This window comes from Homo sapiens, chromosome 11 (genome assembly GCF_000001405.40).
Source record: "Homo sapiens chromosome 11, GRCh38.p14 Primary Assembly".
Taxonomy (NCBI): domain Eukaryota; kingdom Metazoa; phylum Chordata; class Mammalia; order Primates; family Hominidae; genus Homo; species Homo sapiens.
Genome location: NC_000011.10, coordinates 30338224 through 30351975, shown reverse-complemented (window position 1 = coordinate 30351975; position 13752 = coordinate 30338224). Strand labels below are relative to the sequence as shown.

The following is a 13752-nucleotide window of genomic DNA, read 5'->3' as shown; positions in this document are numbered from 1 at the left end:
TGAGATTTTTTTTTAAATGGTGATGATAAACACATATATTTCTTACTCTGCCAGCCCTGCTACATATTTTAAGTTATTTAATCCTCATGACAACCTTTTTCCAAATGAAAAACAGAAGCACAGAGAGGTTTAGTAACTTGCCAAAGGTCATACAGCTAACCTAAGATTGAATCCTGGGTAGTGTGCCTCCCTGAGTCCATGCTATTGACCACAATTATACCTCTTTTTGTGGAGGCAGAGGAGTATTTACTGGGAAGCCAATGAAGCTTTTTTCAAGGCAGCAATTTATAATTTTGTATACTTGTTGTAAAAGAAGCATTCAAACTTATATTAACTTCAGATCCTAAAAGAACCCAGGATGGATGTACTTGCTCGTGTTTGAATCCTCTGCAACCTCACTTGGTAATAACGATTGCCATGATGATGATGACAATCATTCCAACCCTTGTATAGAGCATTTGCAAGGCACCTCAGCTATCTCCCTGGATCCTCAGAACAACCTGAAAGTTAGGCACGATCCTTGTCACTTTTACAGATGATGTACTAACCTCAAAGAGACAGTGATTTTGCCTAAAGTCACCTAGCTAGTAAGTGATGGAGCCGGGACTGAAACTCAGAGCCTCTGATCCCATATGTCATGCTTCCTCCACTCAAACATTTACTGGCCTGTGGGTTCTGAGAGCCCTTTACAGTGCTTAGTAGATGGTGCTCCTCCCCGCCCCAGCCCCATGCAGACCCATTTGCAGAGCACTCCATCACATCCAACAATTATCTAAATTGAAGTTGTCCATCCTGCCTTTTAAGTTCTTTTCCAGCTAATGAACCTTTTCAACCAACACAGGGCGCTTGATGTTAATCACATGGAGAAATGCAAGCTCAATCTGTTCACCTTCGAATAGATAGCGCCTAAAAGGTATAGAAATTCCATTTAACTTCTCAAGTCCTAATCTTAAGAATTTCTTAGGGGAAACTTCTTCAACTGCCTGTTTTCAAGAGACTTTCAAAACCCTCAAGCAATTGCTAAAGTGATACTAGAAATGCATTTGCCTTTATCTAGAGACTTGGTGAGTACTAGCCTGTAATTTATCATTCTGTATAACAGAAAGCCTGGAGAATCATATTATAAAGAAGTCTTCAGCTTTCATAGCTGATATGTAAACATATTCCTAAGGCAGAAAAGGACTGGATTATTAGTGATGCCTAAACACTGACCCTGGGGAAAGCGCTCCACATCCAGTTATTTTTAAGGACATATTATCTTTGTGTCATGCAGGAAAGTGCCTGCACCAGCAAGGCCTTGTCTTCCTTCCCAGACTCACATAATCAGTGGTAAAGAGGTTACTGGAGATAGTGATTGAGAACTCAAGCTTTGGAGTTAAGCCAGCCTAGGCATGACCTGCATATTCCTGCATAAATATGGGTATGTGCATATATGCATAAACCTGGTTGTGGCTTATTTATATTACTTAACTTCATTCATTGATTCAACAAATATTTACTGAGCACCTGCTACATGCCAGCCAGTTTCGTAGGTACTGAAGACAAAGGAGTAAACAAAACAAAACTACCTCGGGGTGCTTCCATTTGTCTGCAAAATATAGCAGTAATTTGTCGCACCTCGCCCATAAGGCTGTTTAAGGATTACACCTGAGCCTGGTACCTGGCACATACTTATTAGTATAAAAACAAAATAATGTTTTACCCCATTCTAGATTTAAAATACTTCATGGTTCATTTGTTTATATTTTGAGCCATTTCAAACCCTGTTTTTCAGAAAATTATTGTGGAGTTTCCTTTGATGGGGCCTGGCAGATACGATAAATAGTAGCTGGCTCTTTGGGCTATGTAAGCAGGAGCTGTGGTAGGAGGCAGGGCAGCAGGCCGCATGAGTGCATTTGGTAAACTGAGTCATGGCCAGAATGTGTTCAGGCGGCCTTGGCATAGATCATCACAGAGGCTCTTCATTTTCAGTTTTATTCTGAAGGGATTGTGCTGAGATTACTTTCCCTCTAGAGTTTCTATTTGTCAGGAATACTATTAAAGAGTTTCAAATGAAGCATTTAACAGAAATTCCTGATGCTGTGGTTCCAGTTCATTTTCTTTCCTCTTGCCCACCAGGTCTCAGTGGTGGAGGGTTGAGTTGGACAACCTAACCCACTTCTGCCCAGGTCTTCTGGGTACTTGGCTATTCCTTGGGCTTCTCTGTGACGCATCAGAACCCAAGGCTGTGTGTGGGCCCATCCTTCCTTGGTACACAGATACAGAGACCCTTTGTCTCTGATAGACAAGTGGACTATCCTTTCCTCCCACTTCTGGAGTATCATGCTTTCCTGCTTTACTTCCTTTGTCTTTTCATCCTTTGGAATTCATTTCCCAGTAGCACCTGCCTTAGCACCTATCATTGTCACCTGGTGGGGCCTGAGCTACGGATACTGCACTTCCTTAGACCCCAAGGTGAGGCCCTCCTTCTGTGGCACACTTCCAACCCACCGTACAGGAAATAAAAAACAGCAAAACATTTCCTTTTACATTTCTTTGCCCCCACATTTTGCGATGGGAGGTGAAATAAGAAGCAAGGTCAAATTTTATGAAATTGCCAATGTCAATTATTTCTGACCTAAAGGAAGAAAGCAAAGGAGGATGGAAGCAAGGAAGCAAAAAAGGGGGAAGGAATGGGGGAAAAATCTTGTGGAAGCGAGGGCTAGAATTAGGTAACGACTCATATATTCTGCTCTTTAATGATAATTACAGTTTATTGAATGCTTCCTCTGCATGAAGCACTGGCTAAACAAAGTTTTACATATATCACCTCACTTAATCATCACATCAACTGCGTGAAGCTCCTCTGAACCCCTAAATTATTCCCATTTTAAGGATGCAGTAACTGAGGGTAAGAGTTAAGATATTCATCCAAGGTCCTGCAACATTTAACCACAAAAGTCATGGCTTATCTGCTATATGAGAAGAAAAAGATACAAATCATTAGCACCAACAACTTCCACTACCTTTTAATAGTGTTATATATATTTTCATGATTATAAGAGTAATCATGTTCAGTATAGGAAATTTGAAAATTACAGAACATTTGATGGAGAAAATGAAAAATCATATGAAGTCAAATATAACTTGTATTATTATTTTAGAGTCTCTCTCACTTTGGGTGTTTTCCTGCTTTTAACAAATTTGGAATTGTTCTTTTTATTTTATACTCTGCCTTAAAAATAATTAGCATTGTTATGAATGTTGCCCCATTACTTTAAAAATTCGCCAAAAACTTATTTGGTTATATTATATTGATACATAATATAATATATAAAACATATATAATGATATCCCATTAGCTATCCAATTGTTTTTCTCATGTTAAAAAATTAAGCAGTTACCAAATTCTGGTGTTACAAATGTGATGAACATCATTGTACAAAATCACTACTTTTGACACCAATGGCAGGTGTGTTTGTCATTTAAAGGTGATTTCTTTTCCACAAGAAGTGTCATCACTTACATTTTCTGGTTGTTCGGTCACAATGATCTGCATGGTGTGACCAGGTTGATGGAACTGATACACTGCATTTGTTGGGAACTGACCCAGCCAGACCTGGGGTGTGAGTGTCCAGACCAAAGCCAACTCCAGCCAGGTGAGAGGACTTGCAGCTATTTCCTCCCCTTGGTGCTGTCCTGGGCTCAGCCTGGTGAGGATTTCCCACAGGAGGCAGGGATGAGCAGACTAGAGACAGCTGTGTTGTTCTGAGAGCTCACTGCTGGCTGCCACACAGGGCAGCATCTGCTTTAATACCTAAGGTTGTCACCTGGTGGGGCCTGAGCTATGGATACTGCACTTCCTGAGACCCCAAGGTGTGGCCCTCTTTCTGTGGCACACTTCCAACCCATTGAACAGGAAATAAAACACAGCAAAACACTTTATTTCTTCTTCCCTTCTTTCATTCCCAAACCTTATTCTTACTTGGTTAAACTCACCTTCCTTAATCAGAAAGAAAGGAGGTGGCTCACACCTGTAATCCCAGCACTTTGGGAGGCCGAGGCCTGCAGATCACCTGAGGTCAGGAGTTTGAGTCCAGCCTGACCAACGTGGTGAAACCCCGTCTCTACTAAAGTAATCCCAGCTACTTGAGAGGCTGAGGCAGGAGAATCGCTTGAACCTGGGAGGTGGAGGCTGCAGTGAGCCGAGATCGCGCCATTGCACTCCAGCCTGTGCAACAAGAGCGAAATTCCGTCTTAAAAAAAAAAAAAAAAAAAAGGAGGGGCATACCTTCTTTTATTGTGGCAAGAAGGGGAGAAAGTAGAAACACACAAATTAGACTGCACTGCCAGTTTCACCTCCTGCTTTGTGCTTTTTTTTCTTTAAAGTATGACTTTTTCTCCATATTTTAAAATATTTTACTCAACAAAATTTATTGAATGTGTATTATGTACAAAGCACTGTTTAATGCAATAGGAATGGAAATGACTGAGGCTCTACTGAAAGAAAAATTTTACATAACTTTGCTTAGATTGGCTGCTTATTCAAAAATTTAGAATATTGAATATATTAATTTTCCTAGCTACTAGAAATGTCAAGCCCTTTACTAATAAATTCTAAGTTTTTTGAAGTCTCTAGCCATTTTTAGTTTAGTTTTCCCCCTGTGCCAAGGAGTTTTCTGTTTAACATTGTTAAATTTAGCAAATAAAAGCACAGGACACACAATTAATATTGGATTTCAGGTGAACAAATACCTTTAAATATATTTCATGAAATATCCATAGGTGTGTTCCAAGTATTACTAAAACATTATTTGTTCCTTATCTAAAATTCAAATTTAACTGGATGTCCTGTATTTTATCTGGCAACTCTATTTCTATTGAATAAGAAATTTTCCATTTATTGAGTCTTTGCCTTCGGCTTTTTTTTTTTTTTTTTTTTTGAGTCAGAGTCTTGCTCTGTCACCCAGGCTGGAGTGCAGTGGCACGATCTCTGCTCACTGCAACCTCTGCCTCCCGGGTTCAAGTGATTCTTGTGTCTAAGCCTCCCGAGTAGCTAGGATTACAGGCACCCACCACCACACCTGGCTAATTTTTGTATTTTTAGTAGAGACGTGGTTTTGCCATGTTGGCCAGGCTGGTCTCAAATTCCTTCAGGTGATCCACCCTCCTTGGCCTCCCAAAGTGCTGGGATTACAGGCGTGAGCCACCACTCCTGGCCTGCATTGGGCTCTTAACCTGACACATTTAATGTTTATACATCTCTATAATGTAGGTATTGCTATCCACATTTTATATGCAAGGGAATGGAGGCCTCTAGAAAACAAATAACTTGTCTGAAGTCCCAAAGCCAGCAAGTAGTGGAGACAGCATTCAGACTCAGGTTCACCTGACACCTAGGTCCATGCTCTTTCCTCTGGATTATAAGTACTTATAATTGAAGTATGGACTAGTTTTGGAATATTCCACTTTAACTGTATTTTAGTAGAATATTTGATTTCAAATTGAAAGAACAATCTATATAAGAAGGAGGGTAAGAAGGAGGAAATTTTGCTCTTCTTCCCATAATATTTAGAAGAAACGTTTTATCCCAAAAGCACTTGAACAAATGGCACTCCTCCAACTCTACCTTAAGATACTCATTTTCTAAATGTATAGTTTTTGTTCAAAGTGGTTGAGCGCTTCACTGGAAGTTTGTAGTAAAATATCGCCCTCTTCTGGACAGATGGGTATCATTCAATGGAGATGGATACAAAAGACTTTTTTTTTTTTTTTTTTTTTTTTAATTTTTTCCTTCCAACTTTTATTTTTGGTTCGCATGATACATGTGCAGGTTTGTTACATGGGTAAATCGTATGTTGTTGGGGTTTGGTGTACAAATCTTTGTCACCCAGGTAGTCTATAATAGTACCTGATAGTTTTTTGATCCTCATCCTCCTCCCACCTTCCAACCTCAAGTAGGTTCTGGTGTCTATTGTTCCCCTCTTTGTGTCCACGTGTCCTCAATGTTTAGCTCCCACTTATAAGTGGGAACATGTGGTATTTGCTTTTCTGTTCCTGTGTTAATTCACTTAGGATAATGGCCACCAGCTGTATCTATGTTGCTGCAAAGGGCATGATACTGTTGTTTTTATGGCTGCATAGTATTCCATCGTGTGTATGTCCCAGTACACTTCTTTTTGTTGTTTTTATGGCTGCATAGTATTCCATCATGTATATGTCCCAATACACTTCTTCATCCAGTACACTGTTGATGGGCATCTAGATTTATTCCATGTCTTTGCTAATGTGAATAGCGCTGCAATGAGCATACACATGCATGTGTCGTGTCTTTATGGTAGAACAATGATACAAAGGCTTTTTAAGAGTTAGGACAAAAGTACAATTCGATTATGTATCCAAACACACAATAAATAGCTGTTGTTGTCACTAAGTGTACACCTTCTTCACTGTGACTTCTCAGAACGAAAACAGAAAGACATGTTAGAATTGGCTGAGAAACATATTCCATCCATGTTTATGGAGCTGGCTGAGTGGTGGGCATGGAAGTGGGCAAAATCTTTACTTCCAGGACACACCTTAAGTAACCAAACTGCAATAATACCTAAGTCATCAGAATCACATAGCTTCAATGAATCCTGAACAGAAAGAATTTCACATGTATAAGATGAATGGTCAAAGAAGAATAGAAAAATATCCACCAGCATTGGAACTTTGGCGTCAAACAATCTATTTAGATTCCCTTCTCTTCCACTGATAAACTATGTGACCCTAGGCAAGTTATCTAAATTCTTTAGCTCTCAGTTTCCTCATCTGTGAAATGATAAAAATAGCCACTTATTAGGAAAGGTGGAATAAAGAAATGTGGTAATATCTGCTAGGGTCTGAATGTTTGTTCCCCCAAAATTCATATATTGAAATCCTCACGCCAACAGTGATGGTATTAGGAGGTGGGGTCTTTGGGAGATGATTAGCTTATGGTGACAGAGCCTTCATGAATGGGATTAGTGCCTTTATAAAAGAGGCTCCCGAAAGATCTCCTGCCCCTCCCACTGTGAGAGGTTTATAGCAAAGAGACATTGTTTATGAACCAGGAAGTGCCCTCACTAGACACTGAATTTGGTGGCATCTTGATCTTGGACTTCCCAGCCTCCAGAGCTGTGGGGAACAAATTCCTGTGGATTGTATGCTATCCAGTCTATGACATTTCATTATAGCAGCCTAAAAGGACTAACATATAAAGTATAAAAACAATTTCATTTTCTAAAGTGTCCTACTTTATTTTCACCCAAATTTTGGCTAATAGCCAAGGTTTAGCAAACCAAATTATTTCTCTAAATTTATCCAATTTTAGAACTGTGTATTTTTTCAAGAAAGTCGATATCACCATAAAGATGTTTTGAAGCAGGAACCTCAGAAATAGGTGAACCTATGAACGTCTAACCAAATATACTCTATATTTTTATGTAATTTCAACTGAAAAAAAGTTAAAAAATGTCAATACACTAAAATATCAAAAAAGATGAAAGCATTTAAATATCCCTGTATCACAAATGATTAAGAATATCCAGCTTTATAAAATACACTGTCAAGTATCAGAAAGTCATTATGCATTTGATTTTTTTTTTGGCATCATTATTTCTGGAAATGACATATAGAAAATGTTGAGGTGTGTGCTGAGTTCCCTTTTGTTTGGCAGGAACCAGTTTCACCTTCCCCTCTTTCACACCACAGAACTGAGAGTCCTGTAAGGGTAAAAGGGAAGAAGAACAGGAGCTGTTGATGCTTTAACTTCATTTTGCTAGCAGTGTTATAAACCACAAATTTAAGTCAATGATATGCCTTTAACTGCCTGACAAGTTATTTAATTCAGATACAGCTATTAAAAATTTATATTCATTTGACCTAGGATTGAGTTCTAGCTATGAAACATAGGATGACAGAGAAAATTATCCAAGTATTCTCTGTTTAGCTTATGAACAACAGAAATTTAATTCTTACAGTTCTGGAGGGTGAGAAGTCCAAGTTCCAATTTTCAAACATGCTAAGCACTTTAAAAGCAAGTAACACCAATACAAATACCCTAAATTGGTAACTTAATTACAAGTGCCTTATTGTTATTACAGAATGTCAGACCCTCATGGTAAATTACCATAGGCCATGCTACATTTGTCTAAAGGAGGTTAAGGTCCATGAGAATGGTATGAGAAGATTTTGCAGGGCAGGATTGAAGATGTGGGGGTAAGTCACAGCTGTTTGCTCTCCTTAAAAGATATAAAAGTTCCTGGCCGGGTGCAGTGGCTCACGCCTATAATCCCAGCACTATGGGAGGCTGAGGTGGGCAGATCACAAGGTCAGGAGATCGAGATCATCCTGGTTAACACGGTGAAACCCTGTCTCTACTAAAAATACAAAAATTAGCCGGGCGTGGTGCTGGGCGCCTGTAGTCCCAGCTACTTGGGAGGCTGAGGCAGGAGAATGGTGTGAACCCGGGAGGCGGAGCTTGCAGTGAGCCGAGATCGCACCACTGCACTCCAGCCTGGGCGACAGAGCGAGACTGTCTCAAAAAAAAAAAAAAAAAAAAAAAAAGAAGATAAAAGTTCCCAAGGGCATGAGTTTCAAACAGGCCATTCTACCCTTGATCTTTTATCCTCAAATGAGTAGAGCTAACTTTCCATCTAGTCATTACCTTGTATTCACTTAATGGTCAATCGTGCAAAAAGACAAAATTATTGACTCACATAACTGAAAATTCCAGGTTTGACTTCAGACATAACTGGATCGAGATACCCAAATTCTATCTATCTTGGTCTCTGGCTTCCACTTTCACGTATGTTGTTTACATTCTAAGGCAGATTCTCACTTAGTGCCAAGATTAGCCACCAGTAGGCCTGGTCTTAAACCTGTAAACTTAGCAACCCTCATTGAAAAAAAGCATCACTTCTTCTCTAGTCTCAGTAAGCCTGAAGTTGATTGGCTTTGATTGACCTGGCTAGTCATACATCCACCCTTCTAACATTCATTAAGGCTAGTGAGATGCTACATTCTCAAAGGCCAGGACTTGTGATAAACCCACCCTACAACCACAAAGTAAGGCCAACTGTATCTGAACCACATGGGCTGACTACAAGGGTGGTTTCTCAAAGGCCAACTGCAGAGTGCTAATTCCAGAAGGGGAAGTGATACTGGGCATGCAAAACACTACCAGACTTTAACTGACGTGGAAACAAAAATAAAAACAAAAACCCAAAGCAGATTCAAGAATTTTCCAAGCAGTGACCAAATGGACTTGATAATATGAACAAGAGAAAGGAGTAAAAAATGACTGACTATATATTTTATTGACTCATCTAAGGCCAGATACAGCAAACAATCTAATAGTTTATAATTTATTTGATTTTTAGAGCCAGGACCTGAGAACCAAGTTGAAATAGAAACAAATTAGGTTACTGTATTAGTCAGGGTTTTCCAGAGAAAGGGAACCAACTGGATGTGTCTGCCTGCCTGCCTGTCAATTGATATATTGATCTATCCATCCATCCACCCATACACCCATCCACCCATCCACCCATCCATCCATCCATCCATCCATCCATCCACCCACCCATCAAGAGGTGTAAGGAGCCTCTCAACATGGGTTGTCGGTATGTCACACAGTGTGAGGCTTTGTTTGCCAAGAATTTGTAGTTGAGCACTGACCCTAAAATCTATGTGTAGTTCTTTAAAAGACACAAGGAAAAAAATAAGCATGTTTTTTCAATTACAGCTTTTGGGGATGAGATGGAAACTTTTACTGAAAAAATTAGAAAATGTTTCTTTTTCAACATTTTCTATAGGAAAGTCTATCATCCAATTTAGAGAGGTCAGGAGCTATTTTGGAATAATAAATTTATTTTCATACACCAAACTGTAGGGCCTGTATTTTATGCAGAAATTTTCATTGCATAGTCTCATTCACTAAGTCATAAATGGCTAGATGCTTGCTAGCATTTTTAAAAAACCTCAATATACCACAATTCACTAAGCAATCCTGAATACCTCTCTTAATGCCAAAATTCAATTTGTATTTTATCCAGAATCTTGTAGTCTCCATTTACATGGTACCAGTACTGCTACTATTGGTTACTTTATCTTATGTGACAAAATAACCAATTTAATTTTCAATTACCTTCAAGACCAAATAATAAATTTGGGGTGTCAGAATATAACAAAAAACAATTTAATTTGCATTTTTCAAATTCTTCAGCGTAACTGATTGCTTGTTAACAAAGGGAAACTTAGCCAATTTGTTAAGTTTAGCAATGTTTGCAAACATTAGTTTTAATAAGTCTATTTATTATAAAACGTATCTTAGGCTTCAAAACCTAAGATAGGATAGGTAGATTATGGTAACATTTTTTTTTTTTTTTTTTTTTTTTAAGGTAAGAGTCTTGCTCTGCGTCCAGGATGGAGTGTGGTGGTGCGATCTCGGCTCACCACAACATCCGCCCCTCGGGTTCAAGCTATTCTCATGCCTCAGCCTCCCGAGTAGCTGGGACTACAGGTGTGCCCCACCATGCCCAGCTAATTTTTGCATTTTTAGTAGAGACGGGGGTTTCACTATGTTGGCCAGGCTGGTCTCGAACTCCTGACCTCATGATCTGCCCGCCTCAGCCTCCCAAAGTGCTGGGATTACAGGTGTGGGCCACAATGCCTGGCCAGCAACTCTTTAAAAAATAAAACGTTTGTTTGCTTGTAATGACATGAAATGCAGTTTCTAATCACTGGATGTTTAACCAAGAAATCACTCCCTTGTAGTTTCGAGGAGGAAAAAACACATTTTAGTTGTGGCATTTCACAGAACTGTAATACTTCCAAATTTAAATACCTTTTGTATTTGAAGGTGTTTTATTGCTATCCCAATAATCTGCTTTATCTAGTAAATTTCCTGTATTTTTCTAAAAGTTAAATTATCTTAATAAGATTAGTAAATCCTCACAACTATACCATTAAAAATACACATTGGGACATATACTTTGCAGAGGTCTATTACCTTTCGAACTAAGTATTCAGTTGTGTTTCATGATTTAAAAAAAATAGATAAGAGCATTACTTCCCAAGTACCTCCACTTTATAAAAATAAGTGAAAAGAGACTCAGAATTGCCTGTGTGTATTTCTGTATCCTCACTCACATTCTTGAAAATTAACACCCAATATGGTTGACTGCTGCTGGGCAAGACCTAAGAATGATAGAGAAACCATTTGATTTTGAAAAACATCCACTTCAGCAGGTTATTATATAATTACATGTTCACAGTTAAATTTATAAGTTAAGAGATTAAAGGAAAGTAGTAATAGCTGAGAGCAGTTTTTTTCATGAAGATACCAGATGTCAGCAAAACTAAGGCAGTGTCCTGAATTTTGCACAAGAATGTTAAGCTATAAGCAGGGCAAACATCATGGAGGTAGAAAACCTCTACCAAAATCCAGTCCAGATAAGACATCAGTTTTCTACATTGTGACTCAATGTGTAATCACCTTTTGGAGGTGGAAGGGGTATATGAGGCCAGTGGGATCTGATTTTTCAGGGCAGTCATAGCTCAAGGACTGAGCTGTTCTGGTTTTGTTTTTCTTGAAAACAGCCACCCACAACACTATTTAACAAACCAACCGACACTTTAGCCATACTCAACTGAAAAAGTAAAATGGTTTACAGAATATTTCATACTACCCAGGTACTGCAATACATGTTCAGGAATTCTGAACATCGATATTTGTGAGTACATGAATGCAGATATTTTTCTGGGAAGTTAGTTCATAGCTTTCATCACCTTCTCACAGGGGTCTTTTACTTCCAAAAAGTTAAGACTATAATAGAACTCACTAAAATTATGTTTTTAATAATGAATCACTGTATATATATATATGGATATTTCAAAATTCACTTGCTAAAAATTACTTGCTTGAAATCACGCCAGGGAGGCAGTTTTAGAGTAGACTGTCAGGTTGTATAACAGCCTGTTATATAGAACTAAACATAATACTTTAAAAAGAGAAGAATCCTATATATGATGTTACAAGGTAAATAGCTATTTCCATATTTTAAAAAAAAGGAAAAGATCACGAGATGACATTTTATTCAAATATATACATGCATTTCTACCTTAATATTTGTGACCAACATTGTGTGAGACCAACATTTGTGACCTAACTTCTCTACTAGGATCTACACACAACAGAAATTGTTTATAAAACTTTGCTTTTTAGATTAATTCTAAAATAATTTATAGTCACCTGGAATATTTATGCACAATATAAAGAGGCTCTAGATGATTTCATTATATTCCATATTTCTGTAATTTTATATTACAAAATAGTAAGTGGGCTCATTATTTAATTTTTCCAAAACATAGCTTTATTACAGCTTACTGTAAATCAGATACACCTTTCTCTGTAAACATTTTGTATGCTCATTAAAAGTTTGCTTCCCTAAATGGGCATGATGAACAAATATTAGCAAAATTGCTCAAGAATATTTTCCTTTGAAAAACGTATTAGTCTTTGAAAAATTACAGGTCTGTTCTAAAAAATGCTGCAATATGGCAATTTTAAAGTCATTCATTCCATCAAAAATATTCCTATTTTAAGTAAAAAACCTGATTTTAATTTGTCCCTACGAAAAGCCTAAGCACTGTCATACTTAGAAAAACTAAAAGATGGTAGAAACAATTAAGATCTAATGATCCTAATGTTCAGATAAAACTGGAGTGTTTATGTCCTCAATAATGAAGTATTTCCTTACTTTAGAGAAAGTAATCTAGCATCTGACTTAAGTGAATAAAGCTGAAATATTCTTTTGCCAGTGTTCAGGTAAATCATACAGATCAAGGAACTGACAAGCTAACTGTATGTACTTCTGGTAACAGGTGAGTGAACAGTTAAAATTATTAAAAATATGTAATTCCAAGGCTGAATATGCCATTCCCTCAAAGTAAAACCAGTCATTTTAAAAGCAAAAAAATTAAAAAACAAACAAACCCTCTAATGGTCAATTCAAACTGGCTGCATAAATTGAGTTTTAATGGCTACAAAATCTTTCAAATTGCTAAGAGCACATTTGATTTAACTGAAGGACTGTATTTAGGATGCAAAAAACCCCCCAAAACCCAGATTAGTGGCAATGTCCCATGTGACAAAAAGCTTTTAGACAAAATGACAGCTGTCTTTAAAAAAGTGCAAAGACCAAGGAGGGCAGATCATGAGGTCAGGAGATCAAGACCATCCTGGCTAATATGGTGAAACCCCGTCTCTACTAAAAATACAAAAAAATAAGCTGGGCGTGGTGGCACGCGCCTGCAGTCCCCGCTACTCAGGAGGCTGAAGCAGGAGAATCACTTGAACCCAGGAGATGGAGATTGCAGCGAGCCGAGATTGAGCCACTGCACTCTAGCCTGGGCAACAGAGTAAGACTGTCTCAAAAAAAAATAAAATAAAAGCAAAGAGACGATACCATTCCCCCATCCTCCAAATAGCATCCAAGCAAATTCCAACATCAAGATGCAATCAATTTCCAAAAAATTTATTTATACTCTGTATTAACCAGTGTTTCTCTTTTCCATCCTCACTCCCTAAGGAGTCTTTTTACAATCCTAATCAACCACCCCCAAAATTTTAATACCACAGATATGGTATCTGTTTAAGTACTGTGTGTATATTCATGCTTTATACATCAAGTTTTTGTCCCCCAGAACAATCTTGACAAGGACTGCGTGGCGCTAACAATGAAAAGTTTA

General features: G+C 38.1%; 1 annotated feature.

Moving 5' to 3' along the window:
• Window positions 8959-9008: a silencer, noted in NCBI's record as "silent region_3216". NCBI's record gives its function as "represses an Ori minimal core promoter by ATAC-STARR-seq in GM12878 lymphoblastoid cells {active_cell/tissue: GM12878}" and the evidence as "EXISTENCE:reporter gene assay evidence [ECO:0000049][PMID:35858748]".